This window comes from Homo sapiens, chromosome 11 (genome assembly GCF_000001405.40).
Source record: "Homo sapiens chromosome 11, GRCh38.p14 Primary Assembly".
Classification (NCBI taxonomy): domain Eukaryota; kingdom Metazoa; phylum Chordata; class Mammalia; order Primates; family Hominidae; genus Homo; species Homo sapiens.
In genome coordinates this window covers 21,948,557-21,968,767 of record NC_000011.10, presented here as the reverse complement: position 1 = coordinate 21,968,767, position 20,211 = coordinate 21,948,557, and the positions used below count along the sequence as shown (strand labels likewise).

The window sequence follows — 20,211 nt, the reverse complement described above, 5'->3', positions numbered from 1 at the left end:
TTAAGTAAAAGAAATTCTGATAGTCCCATTCCTAACTAAAGCCTATGCTGCAATTATAGAAGCCAAGCACCCTATTGCTATAATTTTCCACCCAATCACATCCCATTATCATTCAATTTTGCTAAAACCACATGACATAAAAATCACTAATAAGCTACTGCATTTTGTAGGGTATTGGCTAAAAATTAAATCAGATACAACCACATTAATGTTCTATGATAGGAGCTTGCTAATAGGATTATAAGCAGCCAAAAAGGTTAGGAAGAAATCATCTGAGAAAGTCACCCCCTAATATTAAGAGGATCAATTAGCCAGGCATATTTGTGGATAGAGGATACTGTGCAGTAACCAGGGGCTTATGAAGAAAAGAGGCGGGGGGAAGGATTTATTTTGGTTAGGGAGGCATTGAGGACTTCCAAATAAAGATTCCAGAAAAGGACTTCTTAACTTCTGTTAATACAAAGTAAATGACTTTATCATCCTCAAAGCTTTTCTTGGCTCCCCACTGACTGATTTCTGGGCTATCTGAAAATAGGTTAAACCTGTTTCATGTGTCTTCACCTGAGAATTAATACAAACTTGGCCTGTTGTGGGACCAAGTACAGAGGTCTTTCACATATCTCTAGTGATCTCTTAGGGCCTCAATTTTGGAAGGGATTTTTGCTGGAAGTAAGGTCCCTGGATGTATTTTAAGTGAAAGCTGGCATTTACTCCCCAGCTAAGAGCATATATTCCTATTCACTGAGGCATCTTTGTTCAGTCTCTGAGCTGACATCCCAAAGTCAATATCTTCTTTTACTTAAGCCATAGAAAAATGGAGAGATAGTGGACCAACATTGCATATAGGATCTCCTCCTCTAGAAACCTCTGGCCAGTAAGGATGTGTGGGGTAAGGAGCATGCCTTGCTACATATTGGGGAGCTTTCTACAGGGTAGGTTATACTGATGCTATACATTTTAATGTTGAGACTTGAACTCTGAGAATAAAAGGACCAGATTTGACCCTGTGAAAATCTGGTCATATGAGGTGGTTGTATTGATAAATCAGTTTTGAGCTCTCTAACTTTCAAGGGGAGTCAGTTGCTGTGATCTGGGATAAGATACATATAAAAACTGAAAACATAATAGGGAAATCCATAAATAATATTTCATAGCAATTATCCAGCTTCATTACATCCATCAATACTTGTAAATTATATACAAAGCAAGGTCTGGTTTGGGATTCAGGCTCAGTCACTTGCTGGAAGACCTTTGACAAATTTATTTAACCCTTGTAATCTCCACTTCTCTTGTATATACTATGGGAATAACAGAAATGGTTTATCTCATAAATCATTATGAAGCTTATATGAGATGAAGCATGTAAATAAAATACATGGCATGATGGCAAGGGCTTCCTAGTCCTTTTCATCTATGAGATAAATTAGTTATCACAGAAGGAAGGAAGGAAGAAAGAGAAAGAAATGGAAGGAAGGAAGGAAAAAGAAAAAGAAAAGAAAAGAGTTCCTAAGAAGTACCAGCTTGGAGCTGACCTGACACTAACAGTTAAGCAGTGGCCTTCTCCTGTTGATCACTAACAGGTAGGATAAAGAAAGACATATGTCCTGCCCTTGAGAGTTTGCATTCTAGCAGGAGAGGCAGACACAAAAACAATTATCTTAGGCAATCATCCCCAGCTGCCAAAAACGTTAATCCTAGAGAACACTGGTTAATCCTGGCCTGATCACAGGTCCTAGTGGATAGAAGATAAAAAATAAAGATAGGGTCAAGAAACTTGGAGTGAAATAGAGTCTTTCTAGACTTTTCTCCAGGTCCAGATAGCTCAGCCAGAATGAGATAATACCTTTGAGGGCTCAGTAACCATTTTGGTCTTAATATTTCTGTCATGTAAGGGATATAAGAGTCTTTTTTTAAAAAATTACACTTTTGCTTGAGTGTTAATAAATGCCACATACTAGGCTAAGTGATTTATATACATTATTACAATTTAGTGTCACAAATATTCTATTAGATAGTTTTCATATTGCTTGCCATTTTTATTTTTATGAGGAAACTGAGGCTTAGAAATATTAAGTAACTTCCCAAAGTACACACTATGTAGATAATAGAACAGAACTCTATCTGATTTTTATATCTGTGACCTTATCCACCCTGTATTCAGTCTGCTTTTCCTGTGGCTGCAGTTACAGAGTCTTAACATCAAAGCCTTGCTGATATAAACAGACTAGCTGTCTGTAATGCCCAAATGCTACCAAATTGAATTTCTCATAGCTTAATTTCTCACAGAAATGATCATTCGAGGATATTGTCACTCAGAGTATGCGACCTAATAATGTTTCACTTTTGTTAACACAATGCAGCTGCGTGTGTGTGCTTGATTCAAAATGCCAATGTTGAGATTTTGGTGCTGTCTTCTGAGAAGTAAATTTGTGCTGCCAATTGAATCTGGGGGATGGGGTGTTTTCTGAGAAATGTTGAAATGCATTTCACATTTATGGTTTAGATGAGAAGCCATCAGAAGTCCTATAAACACATTTTGTGTTTCTCAGTCAGGTATTTACAGCTTCGTAGGTTGGACACAGTGGAAAATGGCCAAATCCTTAGGAAGTTGCAAAGGAGAGCAATGAAAAGGAAAAAAAAGATTAGGTAGAAGCTGGTGTAGCTAGAGATAGCACAATGGTGAGCATTCATACTTCATTATTCAGGGGTCCTGCCGATTGTCTTCCAGGGTCAGGGAAGAGTCTGTGCTCAACAAGTCAGGGCTCACAAATTGGCCAAGTGCATTGCATTAATGTGTTCTCTCCTTTAGGGATTGTGCCACGGCTGAATATTTAAGGAGGGGGGTTTTCATTAGAAAATTGATGATTTTCTTATGGTGAAATGACTCTGATTGTAACCTCCTCTCCAAAGCAGTGGAAAGAGGCAGAAGAATTGGAGAGTAGGAAGAAAACAAGGGTTTTCCACACTGTCCCTGTTACTGTTGAAGTGTATATTGCTGAACGTTCTTAACAGACTTCAGCAGATGATTTGCACAGACTGACACCACTTTGATAAAATTTACACATAAATGAAGAAACCATGCTAGGTACTGGGTTGGAGGAAGGGGCAGGGGCAAAGAGGAAAATGCACAGAGATGAGTAAGAGAGGAGTTTTGGTCCTCAGATTCCATTCTCGACCAGACAGGATAAAACAGATACATAACTGACTATAATGGACAGCAGAGTAAATTGACGGGAGGATTCAGATACATTCATTGAGTTGCTACCAAACCATTCACGTTATCTCCTTTAATTTGCACAATGGTCCTGTGAGGAAGAGATTACGATCTGACCTACTTTACTAGAGAGGAAAGGAAGATTTAGGAAAGCCTGCTCACTAATCAGTGGCTGAGTCAGACTTCAAAATCAGGCCCCTTCCAAAAAAGAATGCATCTCAGGAGCCTCCAGGCTATGATACTGTACGGGTAAATCAGAAAGTAAACCTGGAATATAAAGAATGGTGAGATCCTTTTTGTTGAGGGAAGGAAGCCTTTTGGAGAAGGTATTTGAGGCTTGGGCTTTGAATCAAAAATATAATTTTGAAAAATGAAAATGAAAGAGTATATGGGCAGAGGTAGTGAAGTAAAGGGTTATCTGATAAAGGAAAGAGGTAAATAGCCCAATCTAACCTTCAATGGTAAATATTATTAAATATCATATAAGATCATATTAAGATTTTAGTATTTCCTAGTGATGTTTTCTGTTAATTTTTGTTGTGATTCCCAGTTTTCCAGATTCACTCTAGTTTTAGGCCCCTTGAGGGTAAGGATTATGATTTATAGTCATGCTCTTTTCCCTGTGTCTTATACAGAGTGAGCTCACTGTGATTAATTTTACAATTCTCTCAAATTTTAAAGCTGAGGAGGACTGCAGAAATAGCCTGATCCAACCATCTTATTTTACAAATAGAGGCAATATGATGAGAAAGGCTAAATGATTTGCTGGAAACTAGAGGAGTTTTCCAGCTTTCATGATGATGATGATGCTAAAATGTAGGAGGAGGATTAGGAGGAGGAGGAGAAAATGCACTTGGTGTATCTCATCCTCTTTTCACAGGACAAGTACTATGAGATAGTTTTCCTGAGAATGGTCACAGATTTCACCCTGAATCATCCATCTGAACATTTCACAAAGTCTCTGTTATAATAAAGAAGGTAGTCTGTAGGGAGAAGAGTACAGCTTCTCACTGTGGAAGAACAGAAGCAAATTAGTTTCTTTAGGGAATGAACAGCAGCTTACTGCCTTGAAATGTGAATTATATGTCATCATAACACTCATAGAAGCTGGACCTCAAAAGGTCTCAAGTGACCTCTCCAGGCCTCAAACATCGAATTATTTCTTCCTTGAAAACTTCTCATCCACTGTCCATTGTTGGGGTTCACAAAATGTTACCCCAGAATATGGCATTTTGACATGCTGAACTGAAGATGCCTCAAGGTCTCTCTGACCTCTCCCCCAACCACTTCTCCCAAAGAAGTTGAAGTTCATTTATCTGCCTAAGATCCAGACCCATAAGGGAGAAAAATTGTTTTTTTTTCTTCTCCTCCCTGTAAGACCAAGAATGTAACCACGCCTAAACAGATCTTTTCACAAGATAATACAGTTGATCTCTGTTCCCTGATCCACTCATTCTCTCTAGTATTCCCCTCAACAGAATTGCTTTCCTACCCTGTCCCGTAACCTGTTTTGCCAAGAAGATTATGTGCTTCTGAATCCTCTTGGGGATGGAGTAATCACTCTGATTCTCTCCATTTGCATGTTAAATATATTTGGATGCTTTTTCTCCAATTAATCTGCCTTTTGTGAGTTGATGGTTCAGTGAACCTTCAGCGGCCCAAGAGGAAAGCTTTCTCTCCACCCCTATGCCATCATGATGCTGCACTTTTCCAGTTCACCTGTTTCTCTGACTCTTTCATCTGTCTCTTCCATTCCTTTTTTTTTCTTTTGTGGTAGACTACATATAGATTTGAATTTCTGTGCTACAGATTACTAGCTGTGTAATCCTAAGAAAAATCGTTAACCTCTTGGAGACTGAATTTTCTTATCAGTAAAATGATAATGACAGACAATCAGGGAAACTGAGAAGTGCCTAACATAGTGCAAAGCTTATTATATGCTGCTTTAAAGAAAAACTGTAGACAAATTAAATTTGATAGAGTATATGTGAACAAAGAAATATACATATACACAAACTATATATATGTACACATACCTATATAGGTACACACACACATATATGTATGTATATATATAGTCATCCAGGAATTTCCTTTATTTATATATACATATATGTGTGTGTGTGTATATATATATATAAATATATATGTATATGTGTATATATATGTATATGTATATATATTGGGCAGCACTCAGAACCAGAAGAAGTTCAGAGAGCTCTGTGCTCTCCTCTGTAGCATGTGCAGTGAGCTTTTAAAGATGGAATATGGAAGAAAAGAAGAGAAAGTACTTGGCTGGCTACAACTAGACTTCGCCTAGACTTTGCCTTATTTGGGTATTATCTGGTGGAAAGTCCCTAGTTAGAGGTTAGTTTGCAGTTTATGAATTATTAAGTTTTGTTTTACTGTTTACATTGAATTGAGTTTTGGTTTGCTTATCTCGAAGTTCTTATTACAGAAACAACCTCTGGCTAATGGCTTCCTCTTCATTAGATTTAATAGCTGTCAGTAAATGTGCCTTCCTAGATATATTGTGTACAGTTGACCTATCTAAAAGCAATTCCTTTTATTGCTTATATCACCTAACCCTACATACACATAGCTAAATTTTTTTTTCTTCTTCTTCTTTGTTTTTTGTTTTTTGTTTTTTTTTTTTGAGACAGTGGCTAGCTCTGTCACCAAGCTGGAGTGCAGTGGCTCACTGCAACCTCAACTTCCCAGGCCCAAGTGACCCTCTTGCCTTGGGCTCCAAGTAGTTAGGATCACAGGTGTGTGCCACTTTATACCCAGCTAATTTTAAAAATTTTTTGTAGACATGGGGTCTTGCTATGTTTTCTTGGCTGGTCTTGAATGACCAGACTCAAGCAATCCTGCCTCAGCCTCCCAAAGTGCTGGGATTACAGGCATGAGCCACCATGCCCAGCCAACTTACAAATTTCTTTCACAACTCCTTTCTCACATGAATGTCATATTAACTTGTCAAACCAAGCAGGACAGATATATAATTCCCAAGTGATAAGCGATAATGACAAGGTTAAAAGGCTTTTGTAAAACGTCATCACAAATGAAATCAAAAGCAGTAATTGGAATCAGAGTCCCTTGCTTTCTGATCTTGGGTATTTTCTCCCATACTGTGCCAACTTTCTCTCAGATGCCTTCAGGAAACATTTCCCTCATTCAGGTACCCGAAAAACTTTAACAGATTTACGATTTTGATTTTGTTACACAGCACACCCTGTGTGGAGTAGTTCAAGCCTACTGATTTATCTTCTGACAAAACATTTGGAATTATATGGCTTTGAGTAACTAGCCTAGGTTGGTAGGTATTTAATATATTCTGCACACATCATCCTGCTTCTTGCTTATGCTGTTGTTAGTCCTGATTTGCTATACTGTCAAACTCCTTGATTTTACAAACTTGTCTCCTCACGTAGGGTATGTGGTGAGAATAACCCAAGTATGGTTACCACATTTCCCATTGAATGTATTTGTTCTCTTGGACTCACAACAGTTCTTTTCAGCTATGGTTGCATTTTTCAACATAAAAGTGCTGTCATCTGGTAATTTCCTTAACCAAATTTTAGCTCCTAAAAAGCTAAGAGAAATAGTTGGGAATGGTGTTTGGGATGTGTTTCCATTCCTATTTTACTTCCCTTGCAAAAATATAACATGTGTAGCAGGGGAAATACCTTCTTCTAGAAAGAGTAAATGAATCAGTGAACCTAGAGGATTCTGGCTCTAAGAGCTTAAATCAATCATCCTTCGGAGACTTAGCTATTTCTCTAAAGTGAAGATCTGAATAACTGTTCTAATAACCTTGGATGATTTGTTTCAGTTCCAGAGACAGAAAAGAATGAGAATGTTTTGTAAACACTACATTACTTCACAAAGTGTGGAGTATCTTCACAACTAGAAAAAAACCTGAAGCCAGTTTCCTGAATCAGATAGTTTAGATTTGAATTTTGACTGAATAGTTTACTAGGTGTACAATTTTGGGCAAGTTGATTAGTGTCTCTATGTTACCCCCACCTCCAATATTTTTATTTGTTAAATAGATATTAGAAATATAGTAAGAGTAATTATAAGGATGTTATAAGAATCAAATTAGATAATATAGGGAACGTACCTGGAGAGATGAAAGGCCTATAGTAAGTGCTCAATAAACACAAGCATCCAAGTCACATGGTCACTTTTATAAGGAGGAAATTTGTGCCTAGAGTAGAAAAAATTAACATAGAAATCTTCAATTGTTAAGTGTTTCAAGATTTATATAAACTTCTCCCAGATAAGATGATGTCTGCTGAAGTCTAGGGAACACTTACATGTAGGTTTTCTAACACTTTCCGTCTAGAACCACAGCATCCACAGGTGAAAATACTGAGGTGGAAGCAAATAGAAAATAGCCATAGGGAACATGAAGAAGTTCCCTGTAACAACCGCTTAGACATTTGCTTGGGAACAGTTCTGTACTCAACAATACTTCATGTCATCGAATCTTTAGTACCATGGTGCAATTAGAAATCTTAAAGCTTATACAGAAAAAGCTTAGACTGACCTATTTAACAGGTTGGCATACTTTCAATTAAACATAGTAGAATATTCTATAATTTACATTTTTCTAAAATTGGTAGGTACAAAGTAAAATTATTTGTACTTGAAAGTAAAATATTTAAGAATCTACGAAGGTTAGAAATAAAATGGACCTTCCTTATCATTTCAAGACTAGGTAGCCATTTGCCTAAATATCAAATCAAGTTAGAGCAAGAGCCTAGCTCTTCTTGAGTGCATGCCAAGTGATAATTGCAGCATGTCATTTGTTGCTAGACATGCTTATCTGACATTAGTAAATTTTAATTCTGGTTTTAATTGTGAATATCAAGATTTAACCTATCTGAACTTTATCTTTCAATTTCCTCACTTGTGAAATGGGAACATTACTTCTCTGTTACCTAAGGATGTCTCCCACCTTAGTATCTAATCCGTGAAAAAGGAATTAAAGTTTATGTTTTCCATCAATGAACATGTTTTTGCATTAATTCTCAGCTATAAAATTGACATTCAGAAAAATGTATACACCATCTTTATAGCTGAACCAAACATTTTCTACTGTCCTTAATTGATGCCATGTTTTATTTTGTTGTTCATAATATACATATACACAGAGAGCTTAATATCATGCCATGAGTGGATCTCAGAACTTCTTTGAAAGACAAACTCTATTTACTTCTATCCCTTTATTCTCTCATCTTGGTCTCATGAGACATACTGGACCATTTTCAAGGTCCCAGCAAACCTTCTTCACTCTCATTGCTAGATAATGACTCATTGCTAGATAATGACTCAACTTAGAATAATTTTTCAGAAGACCTTTCTTTACCTCCTTTTTACCCTCAGCATCATGGACTTGATCTAACATAGCATTTATCACGGTGAACTGTTATTAACAGGTATACCTCATTTTATTGTACTTCTGAGATAGTGTTTTTTATTTTACAAATCAAAGATTTGGGGCAACCCTATGTCTAACAAGGCTATTGTCACCATTTTTCCAACACGTGCTCACTTTGTGTCTTTGTGTCACATTTTAATAGTTCTCACAATATTTCAAAGATTTTCATCATTATATCTGGTACAGTGATCTATGAGCAGTGATCTTTGATGTTACTATTCTAATTGTTTTGAGGCACCACTAACTGCTCCCACATAAGACAATGAACTTAATCAGTAAGTATTGGATGTTTTATGACTGCTCCACTGAAAAGCTATTTCTCCAACTCTCTCCCTCTCTTTGGGCTTCCCTATTCCCTGAGATACAAAAATATTGAAAGTACACCTCTAAATGTTCAAGTGAAGGGAAGAAACACATATCTCTCATTTTATTTTGTTTAGTTTTTAATTTTAATTTTGGTCTTTACATAGTAGGTATTTGTATTTATGGGGTACATGAGATATTTTAAAATAAGCATGCAATGTGTAATAATTACATCATGGAAAATGAGGTATCCATTTCCTCAAGCATTTATCCTTTGTGTTACAAACCATTCAATTATACTCTTAGATATTTTTAAATGTACAATTAAATTATTATTGGTTATACCCACCCTGTGTGCAATCAAATACTAGCCTTGTTCATTCTTTCTATCCTTTCTGTACCCATTAACCATGTCCACCTTCCCATGATACCCCCAACTGCCCTTCCCATCCCTTGGTAATCATCCTTCTTCTCTCAGTCTCCATGAGTTCAATTGCTTTGATTTTTAGATTCCACAAATAAGTGAAAACATGTAATGTTTGTCTTTCTGTGCCTGGCTTATTTCACTTAGAATAACGACCTCCGGTTTCATCCATGTATTATTCATTACGGCTGAATAGTACTCCATTGTGTATAAGTACTACATGTTCTTTATCCATTTATCTGTTAATGGATACTTAGTTTGCTTCTAACTTTTGACTATTGAAACACGGCTACAACATACATGAGAGCGCAGATATCTCTTTGATATACTGACTTTCTTTCTTTTGGGTGTATACCTAGCAGTGGGATTGCTGGATCTTAAAGTAGCTCTATTTTTAGATTTTTGAGGAGGCTCCAAACCATTCTCTGTAGTGGTTGTGTTAGTTTAAATTCCTACCAAGAGTGTAGGAGGGTTTCCTTTTCTCCACATCCTTATCAGCATTTATTACCTGTCCTTTGTATACAAGCCATTTTAACTGGGGTGAGATGATATCTTGTAGTGTTGATTTGTATTTCTCTGATGAACAATGATGTTGAGCACATTTTCATATGACTGTTTGTCATTTGTATGTCTTTTTTTTTTGAGAAATGTGTATTCAAATCGTTTGCCCATTTTTTTTATAATAAATTATTAGATTTTTTCCTATAGAGTTGGTTGAGCTCCTTATATATTCTGGTTATCAATTCTTTGTCTGATGGGTAGTTTGCAAATGTTTTATCCAATTCTGCGGACTGTCACTTCACTTTGTTGATTGTTTCATTTGCTGTGCAGTAGGTTTTCAACTTGACATGATCCCATTTGTCCAGTTTTTGCTTTGGTTGCCTGTGCTTGTGGCGTATTATTCAAGAAATTTTTGTCCGGACCGTGTCCTGGATAATTTCCGCAATGTTTTCTTGTAGTAGTTTCACAGTTTGAGATCTTATATTTAAGTATTTAATCCATTTTGATTTGATTTTTGTATGGCAAGAGATAGAGGCCTAGTTCCTTTCTTCTGCATGTGGATATCCACTTTTCTTAACACCATTTATTGAAGAGACTCTTCAATATGTTCTTTTCACCTTTGTTGAAAATGAATCTCCTGTGAGTGTGTGGGGTTTCTTCTGGGTTCTCTATTACATTTCATTGGTCTATGTATTTGTATTTGTAACAGTACCACACTGTTTAGGTTACTATTGCTCTATAGTATAATTTGAAGTCAGGTAATGTGATTCCTTCAGTTTTGTTCTTTTTGTTTAGGCTATCTTTGGCTATTCTGGGATTTTTTTTTTCTGTTTCTGTGTAGAATGTCATTGGTATTTTGATAAAAATGGCATTGAATATGTAGATTGCTTTGGGTAGTATGTACATTTTAACAATATTGATTCTTCCAATCCATGAACATGAAATATCCTTCCATTCTTTGGTGTCCTCTTCGATTTTGTTTATGAGTGTCTTATAGTTTTCATTGTAGAGATATTTCATTTGTTTGGTTAGTTTCTAGATATTTAATTTTATTTGTGGCTATTGTAAATGGGATTACCTTTAAAATTTTTTTTCAGATTGCTCACTGTCAGCATGTAGAAATGCTACTGATTATTGTATGTTGACTTTTTATTCTGCAACTTTACTGAATTTGCTTATCAGTTCTAATAGATTCTTGTGGAGTTTTTAGGTTTTTCCAAATATAACATCATGTCATTTTCAAATCTAACGTCATGTCATCTCCAAACAAGCATAATTTGACTTCTTTCCCAAGCTGGATGCCCTTTATTTCTTTTTGTTGTCTGATTGCTCTAGTTAGGATCTCCAGTAATGTGTTGAATATCAGTTATGAAAGTGAGCATCCTGTCATATTTCAGGTCTTAGAGGAAATGTTTTCAGTTTTTTCCTCTTCAGTATGATACTAGCTGTGATCTGTCATATATGGCTTTTATTATGTTGAAGTATGTTTGTTTTATCCTGTTTTTTGAGTTTTTTTTTATCATGAAGGGATGTTGAATTTTATAAAACACTTTCAGTATCAATTGAAATGATCATTTTTTTTCTTTTTGTTGATATGAAGTATCACATTGATTGATTTGCATATGTTGAACCACACTTGCATCCCAGGGATAAATCCCACTTGGTCATAATGAATGATCTTTTTATTTCATTATTGAATTCAGATTGTTAGTACTTTATTAAGAATTTTTCAATCAATATTCATCAAATATATTAGCCTATAGTTTTCTTTTTTTGATGTGTCTTTATGTGGTTTTGGTACCAGGGTAATACTGGCCTTCCAGAATGAGTTTGGACTATTTCTTTCTTCTATATTTTTTGGAATAGTTTAAGTAGGATTTCTTTAAATGTTTGGTAGAATTCAGCAGTGAAGTCATCAGGTCCCAGACTTTTCTTTACTGGGAGACTTGTTATTATGGCTTAGATCTCATTACTTGTTATTGGTCTGCGAGGGTTTTGAATTTCTTCATGGTTCAATCTTGGTAGGTTGTATGTGTTTGGGGATTTGTCCATTTCTTTTGGAGTTTTCTATTTATTTACATGTAGTTGCTCACAGTAGCCACTAAACAATCTTTGAATTTCTGTAACATCAGTTATCGTGTCTCCTTTTTCATCTCTGATTGTATTTATTTTGATCTTTTTTTTCTTCATTTTCTGGCTAAAGGTTTGTTAAAAGGTTTGTTAATTTTTGTTAACTTCAAAAAAACAACTTTTCATACCATTGATCTTTCCTATAACTTTCTTCATTTTGATCGTATTTATTTTTACTCTGATCTTTATTATTTCTTTTCTTCTACTTATTTTGAGTTTGATTTGCTCTTGTATTTATAGTTCCTTAAGTTGCAGCATTAGGTTTCTATCTGAATTTTTTCTTCTTTTTTGATGTAAACCTTTATAGCTATAAACTTTCCTCTTAGTACTGCTTTTGTTGTATCTCATAGGTCTTGGTATGTTGTGCTTCCATTGTCATTTGTTTCAAGAAATTTTTCAGTTTCCTTCTTAATTTCTTCACTGATCCACTGGTCATTCAGGAGCATATTGTTTAATTTCCATGTATTTATATTTTTCCAAAATTCTTCTTGTTATTGATTTATAGTTTTATTCCATTATAATCAGAGAAGGAGCTTAATGTTATTTCCACTTAAAAAATGTTTTGAGACTTGTTTTGTGACTTAATATATAGTCTATTCTCATATATAGCTGTTAGACGAAATGTTCTGTAAATATCTTTTAGGTCAATTTGTTATATAGTGTAGATTAAGTCCACTATTCTCTTTGCTAGTTTTCTGTCTGAAAGATCTTTGCATTGTTGAAAGTTGGGTGTTGAGGTCTCCAGATATCATTGTATTAGGGCCTATTTCTCTCTTTAGCTCTAATAATATTTTCTTTATATATCTTGGTCCTCCAATGTTATGTACCTATAAATTTTAAATGATTATATCCTCTTGCTGCATTGACCTCTTTATTATTATATAGTGACTTTCTTTGTCTCTTCTTATAGTTTTTGTCTTGAAATCTATTTTGTCTGATATAAAAGTATACTACTCCTGTTCTTTTCAGTTTTATTGGCATGGAATAAGTTTTTCCATCTCTTTATTTTCCATCTGTATGTGAAGTATGTTCTTTGTAGGTAACAGATCACTGGGTCTTCTTTTTTTTTTTTTTTGTCCATTCAGCCACTCCGTGTCTTTTGAGTGGAGAGTGCAGCCCATTTACACCCAATGATGTTATTGATTAGTTAGGACTTATTCTTTCCATTTTGTTATCTGTTTTCTTGTTGTTTTGTGGCCTTCTCTTTCTTCCTTCCCATCTTCCTTTTGTGAAGGTGATTTTGCCTGGTGATATAATTAAATTTCTTGCTTTTTTGTGTGTGTATCTGTTACATGGTTTTTGCTTTAAGGTTACAAATAGTAACCTTTGCTTTGAAGCTTGCAAATAGAATATTATAACCCATTATTTGCAGCTAATAACAACACTGTTTGCAATACAAACACACAAATAAGCAAAAAGGAAACAAATAAAGACTCCATGCCCTAATTTTATCCGTCCGCTTTTTAACTTTTTGTTTTTTTCCTATTTATATCTCATTGTACTGTGTATTTCTTGAAAAGTTGTTGTACTTATTACATTTGATTGGTTCATTAAGCCTTTCTACTTAAGACAAGAGTAGTTTACACATCAGAGTTACAGTGTTATAATATTCTGTGTTCTTTTGTGAACTTACTATTACCAGTGAGTTTAGCACTTTCAGGTGATTTCTTATTGTTCTTTACTGTGCTTTTCCTTCTGATTGAAGCACTCCCTTTAGCATTTCTTCTGAGACAGGTCTGATATTGATGAAACCCCTCAGCCTTTGTTTTTCTGGGAAAGTCTTCATTTCTCTTTCATGTTTGAAGGATAGTTTCACTGGATATGCTATTCTGAGGTAAGAATTTTTATTTCTTCAGCACTTTAAATATGTCATGCAACTCTCTCCTGGCCTGTAAGGTTTCCAGTGAGGAATCTGCTGCCAGACATATTGAAGCTCTGCTGTATATTATTTGTGTCCTTCCTCTTGATGCTTTTAGGATCCTTTCTTTATCGTTGACCTTTGGGAGTTTGATTGCTAAATGCCTTGAGGTAGTCTTATTTGGGTTAAATCTTCTTGGTATTCTATAACCTTCTTGTACTTGGATATCGATATCTTTCTCTATGTTTGGGAAGTTCTCTGTTATTATCTCTTTGAATAAACTTTCTATATCTATCTCCTTCTCTACCTCTTCTTTATGTTCAAAACCTCTTAGATTTGCCTTTTTTGAAGCTATTTTCTAGATCTTGTAGGTGTCCTTCATTGTTTTTTATTCTTTTTCTTTTGTCTTCTTAGACCGTGTATATTTTCAAGTAGCCTGTCTTCAAGTTCACTAATTCTTTCTTCTGCTTGATTAAATCTGCTATTAAGTCTCTGATGCATTCTTCAATATTCCAGTTGCATTTTCAGCTCCAGCATTTCTGCTTGATCTTTTAAATTATTTTAATATCTTTGTTAAATTTGTCTCATATAATTCTGAATTCCTTATCTGTGTTATCTTACAGTTTTTTGTTTTCCTCAAAATCATTATTTTGAATTTTCTGTCTGAAAGGTCACATATCTCTGGTTCCCCTGGATTGGTCTCTGGGGTCTTATTTAGTGCTTTTGGTGAGGTCGTGTTTTCTGGATGGTCTTGATACTTGTAGATGTCCTTTAGTGTCTGGACCTTGAAGGGTTAGGTATTTATTGTAGTCTTCTCAATCTGGGCTTGTTTGTACTCATCCTTCTGGGAAAGGCTTTCTAGATACTCAAAAGGACTTGGGTGTTGTGATCTAAGCTGCATCTGTTTTAGGGGAAACCCCAAGCTCACTACACTGTGGTTCTTGCAAACTTCTACATGTATTGCCTTGACGATCTTGGGCAAGATCTGGAAGACTTCTCTGGATTACCAGGTAGAGATTCTTGTTCTCTTCCCTTATTTTCTCCCAAACAAAGCCCCTCTCTCTGTTCTGAGCCACCTGGAGCAGAGGGTGGGGTGACACAAGCACCCCCATGGCCACAACCACTAGGACTGTACTGGATGAGATGTAAAGCCAGCATAACCCTGGGTCTTGCCCAGTGCTTACTGTAACCATTGCTTGTCTATGACCTATGTTTACTTCAGGACTTGGGGCTCTATAATCAGCAGGTGGCAAAGCCATCCAGGCCTGTGTCCTTCCCTTCAGGGTGATGAGGTCTGCTAGGCTCTAGGCAGGTCCAGAGGTGGCAGCTGTGAGCCATAAACTATAGTCAAAAACCTTAGAAGTCCACCTAGTATTCTATTGTACTGAATTTGAGCTGGCATTCAAACCAAAAGATGCCATCCTTCCCACTCTTCCTTCCCCTTTCCAAAGGCAGAGGAGCTTCACTCCATGGCCACCACTTCCACAGGCCACAGGAGGTAATGTCAGACTACTACCAATGTTCTCTTAAGTCCCAAGGGCTCTCCAGTAAGCTTGTGAATGCTGCCTGACCTAGCACTCACCCTTCAGGGCAATGAGCTCCCCTCTGGCCTAGGGCAGGTCCAGAAATGTCCAAAAGCCAAGTCCTAGAATCAGGGACCCTAAGAGCCCACTTGGTGCTCTTATGCCCCTATAGCCAAGCTGGTACCTAAGGTATAAGACAAAGTCTCCTTAAATTTTTCCTACACCTTTCTCAAGTGGAAAGAGTTTCACTCCATAGCCACTGTATCTGGGAATGTGCTGAGTCTCATCTGAAGCAAGCAAGTTTCAGAGTCTCATCCAATGCCCTTGGCATAGTGCCTGGGTATCACTGCTGGTTATTCAAAGCCCAAGGACTTCCCAGTTAGCAGGTGATGAATTCTAACAGTACTGGATCCTTGCCTTCCATGCACCAGGTTCCTTAGTCCCCTTTACTTTTCCCTCCACTTTTCTCAATGGGAAGGAATCTCACCCCGTAGCCACCACATCTGAGAATGTGCTCAGTCTCACCTGAAGACAGCAAGTCTCAGAGTCTCACTCAAAGCCCTTGATGTAGTATTGGGTATTCCTGCTGGCTATTTGTACCAAGGCCTTTTCAATTAGCAGGTAATTAATCCTGCCAGTACTGTGTCCTTCCTTTTGAGTCAGCAGGTTCCCTTCTGGCCCAGCATGTTTCTAGAAATGTAGTCTGTGAATTAGGGCCTAGAAACGGGGCCTCATGGCTCTGACCACTGCTCCATCCTGCTGTGGCTGAGCTGGTATCCAAGGTGCAAGACAAAGTCCTTCCCACTCTTCCTTCTTCTTTCCTCAGGCAGAGAGAAGGGGACTTTTTTGGAGCCATGAGCTGTGTAGCGTGGAGTTAGGGGAGGGGTGATGCCGGCACTCCCTTAGCAGCCTTGGCTGATGCTTCAGTAGGTCTCATGGCCCCCTCATCCACTGGCTCTGGGCCCAGTTCAGCACTTGGGACTTGCCACAGAACTGCAGCTCCTGTGGCCTAGACTACCCTTCAGGTTTATGCAGAACCACAGAACACTCTAGACTTCAGGGGCAAGGCTTGCAAGAACTTAAGTTCTGACCACTGGCATGGTTGACTCCCCTAGCTAGGGCTGGTTTAAACCCGTGGGTGACTGTCAGCTTAGTTTGGTCCTGTTTTGTTTTTTGTTATAATAGGGCAGCACTGAGTACAATGCCACATATTTTCTGTGCTTCCCCTCTCCCCAGTGCACAGAAACACTCTCCACACCATGCCACCACTGCTGGGGGATGGAGGAGAGGTGCCATTGGCAATTCAGGACTGTTTTTGTTACCTCTTCAGTGTCTCTTTCAGCAATATGAGGTTAAAATCAGGTACTGTGAGTGGTCACTCGATTTTTCGTTCTTATGGAGGTGCTTTTTTTGTGTGTGTGTAGATAATTGTTAAATTGGTGTCCTTGTAGTGGCAGGGGGATGATTGGTGGAACCTTCTATTCTACCATCTTGCTCCATTCCCACACATCTCACACTTCAAACAAAAAGCTAGAAATAACTAAACATAATGAAGATGGCATGTTAAAAGCTCAGATAGGCCAAAAGCTAAGTGTCATGTGCCAATCAGCAAAATTATGAATGCAAAATAAAAGTTTTTTTTTTTTAATTAAAAGTGCTACTTGAATGAACAACAAATAAAAGAAAGCTAAACAGTGTTATTGCTGACATGGAAAAAGTTTTATTGGTCTTAATGAATCAAACCACTCACAACATTCCCTTAAGCCAAAGCCTAACCCAGAACAAGGGTCTAAGTCTTGTCAATTCCATGAAGGTTGAGAGAAGTAAGAAAGCTGCAGAAGAGGTTGAAACTATCAGACCTTGGTTCAGGAGGTTTAAACAAAGAAACCGTTTTCATAAAAGAAAAATGCAAGGTTATACAGCAAGAGCTGATTTAGAAGCTGCAGCAAGTTATCCAGAAAATCTAGCTAGGAAAATTGATGAAGGTGGCTACACTAAACAACAGATTTCCAATATAGACAAAACAGCCTTATATTATGAGATGATACCATCTAGGACTTTTACAGCTAGAGAGAAGTCAATTGCCTGGTTCCAAGCTTCAAAGGTTTACTCCCTTGTTAGGGGTTAATGCTGCTGTTAACTTTAAGCTGAATTCAGTGTTTACTTACCATTCTGAAAATGCTAAGGTCCTTAAGAATTTTGCTAAATCTACTCCACCTGTGTTCTATAAACGGAAGAACAAAGTCTTGGTGACAACACATCTGTTTACATCATGACTTACTATATATTTTAAGCCTTCTATTGAGACCTGCTTCTCAGAAGTTTCTGTTCAAAATATTACTTCTCATTGACAATGCAGCTAGTCACCCAAGGGCTCTGATGGAGATGTACATGAAGATTAATGTTATTTTCATGTCTGCTAACACAATATCCATTCTGTACCTCATGGATCAAGGAGTAATCTCAATTAGTAAGTCCTCTTATTTAAGAAATACATTTTGTTAGGCTATAGCTGCCATAGTGATTCACTAGAGCTACCATAGTGATCAGGGCAAAGTAAAGTGAAAACCTTCTGGAAAGAATTTATTATTTTAGAGGCCATTAAAAACATTCATGATTCACGGTACGAGATCAAAATACTAACAGGAACAACAGTTTGGAAGAATCTGAGTTCAATCCTTGCTGATTGAAAGTTTTTGAGAGGTTCAAGACTTCAGTAGAGAAAGTAACTTTAGATGTTGTGAAAACAGGAAGAAAACTAGATTTAGAAGTGAAGTCTGAAGATGTGACTGAATTGCTTCAATCTCATGATAAAACTGGAATAGATGAGTAGTTTCTTCTTATGCATAAGCAAGGAAAATGGTTTCTTGAGATAGAAGCTAGTTTTGGTGAAGAGCCTGTGAACACTGTTGAAATGACGACAAAAGGCTTAGAATATTACATAAACTTAGTTGACAGTGGCAGGGTTTGAGATAATACATTCCAATTTTGAGAGAAGTTCTACTCTGGGTAAAATGCTATCAAACTTTTCATCACACGCTACAGAGAAAACTTTTCTGAATGGAAGAGTCAATCGATGTAGTGACCTTCACTGTTATCTTAAGAAATTGTCACAGTCATCTCAACCTTTAGGAGCCACCAGACTGATGAGTCAGCAGCCATCAATACTGAGACAAGAACCTTCACCAGAAAAAAGATGATGACTTGCTTAGGGTTCAGATGTCCATTAGCATTTTTAAGAATAAAACATTTTTAAATTAAAATATGTGCATTTCTAGACATAATGCTACTGAATACCAAGTAAACTATAATATAATATAAACATAACTCTTACATGTGCTGTAAAACAAACAAAAAAAATGTGTGACTCACTTTATTGCAATATTTGCTTTATTATGGTGGTCTGAAACTGAACCTGTAATATCTCTGAGGTATGACTTCATTTACTTATCTTTCTGCCAGATTGGAGCATGAACTCCCTGAGAGCAAACACTGTTTGAGCCAACACTGAACCACTAAAGCCTAGCACAGTGTCTGAAACATATTAGGGTCTCAATAAACATGTTAGGCCAGGCGAGGTGGCTCATGCCTGTAATCCCAGCACTTTAGGAGGTTGAGGTGGGTAGATCATGAGGTCAGGAGTTCAAGATCAGCTTGGCTGAGATGGTGAAACCCCCTTTCTACTAAAAATACAAAAAAAAAAAAAATTAGCCAGGTGTGGTGGTGGGTGCCTGTAATCCCAGCTACTCGGGAGGCTGAGGTAGAGAATTGCTTAAACCCGGGAGGCAGAGGATGCAGTGAGCTGAGATCGCACCACTGCACTCCAGCCTGGGCGACAGAGTGAAACTCCATCTCAAAAACAAAACAAAACAAAACAAAACAAAAATATGTTAAATAAAAATGTGGACGAATATGAACACATCAGGAATTGAGAATAGTTAGTTGTCCCCCATTGGAATTTTAGGGAGTCAGGTCCCATTAAATAATTTTCTAGAAAAAAAATGATTACTGTCTCTATTCTTACTGTTCCCCTATTTATTGATGCATCCTTTATCCATCAATAGGAATATGAGCTGAACTTGTGATGGGGTGCAATGGCAGAAGTAATCTTAATGGCTCAGGTTGTAGAATAGAGAGGTAGATTAATCCAAGCAAGCAATATATATCCATATCTGAAGATACTGAGGGTAGGACTTGTATATATTTTGCAATATAAATGATTCTGACCTGCATGAGCATGTAGCTGTTTTCCTGGATGGGGAAGTTGGAGGGAGTGACGGATGCTCTTTTGGAGCTATGCACTCCCACACAGAATTGACAGAGTAAACAAACACATTATCTGGTTCAACAGGTCTGGGGTTAGGCAGCTCAATTACTATAATGTTGTAACTCCATAGCCTTCATTTTTTTTCAACTGTATGATACAGGTGGAAGTTACTAGAGAGCAGATTACTTTGATTACTACCCAAGAAGTTTGTAAGATGGAGCAGTTTCGTGAAATGGTGTGATTTCATGAAAGACTTGGGGATGCTACTTGACTTTTCTTGCTTTTAAAATAGAATCCTACTTGGTCTCCTGAAATTTTTTTCTATAGATTATGAATTTTTGGACTACAAAACCAAGCTACACTTAAACACATCCCATAAGAACTTGAAGTATGTCAATTCTATCTTTCTGACAGGAAGAGATATTTAAGCTTCCATAAGAAGTCAATGTAAAGGTTATTATATTCTGTAGGTTGAAGTGCGTTACCCTATAGGAACCTTTAAAATAAGGGCATATCATTTCAATTAACTTTTTAAAAAATAT

General features: G+C 36.9%; 1 long non-coding RNA gene across 6 annotated transcripts in view; it reads right to left on the bottom strand.

Moving 5' to 3' along the window:
- The window catches only part of LOC102723370 (uncharacterized), a 366,694-nt gene that overhangs the window by 151,132 nt on the left and 195,351 nt on the right, over positions 1 to 20,211 (bottom strand). The window contains exon 2 of one of the 6 annotated variants that reach the window (XR_007062617.1): positions 7,341 to 7,427. The exons of the other annotated variants lie outside the window; for them this stretch is intronic. This is a non-coding gene — a long non-coding RNA (uncharacterized LOC102723370). The remainder of the gene's footprint in view (positions 1 to 7,340; positions 7,428 to 20,211) is intronic. 6 annotated transcript variants of the gene reach the window in all.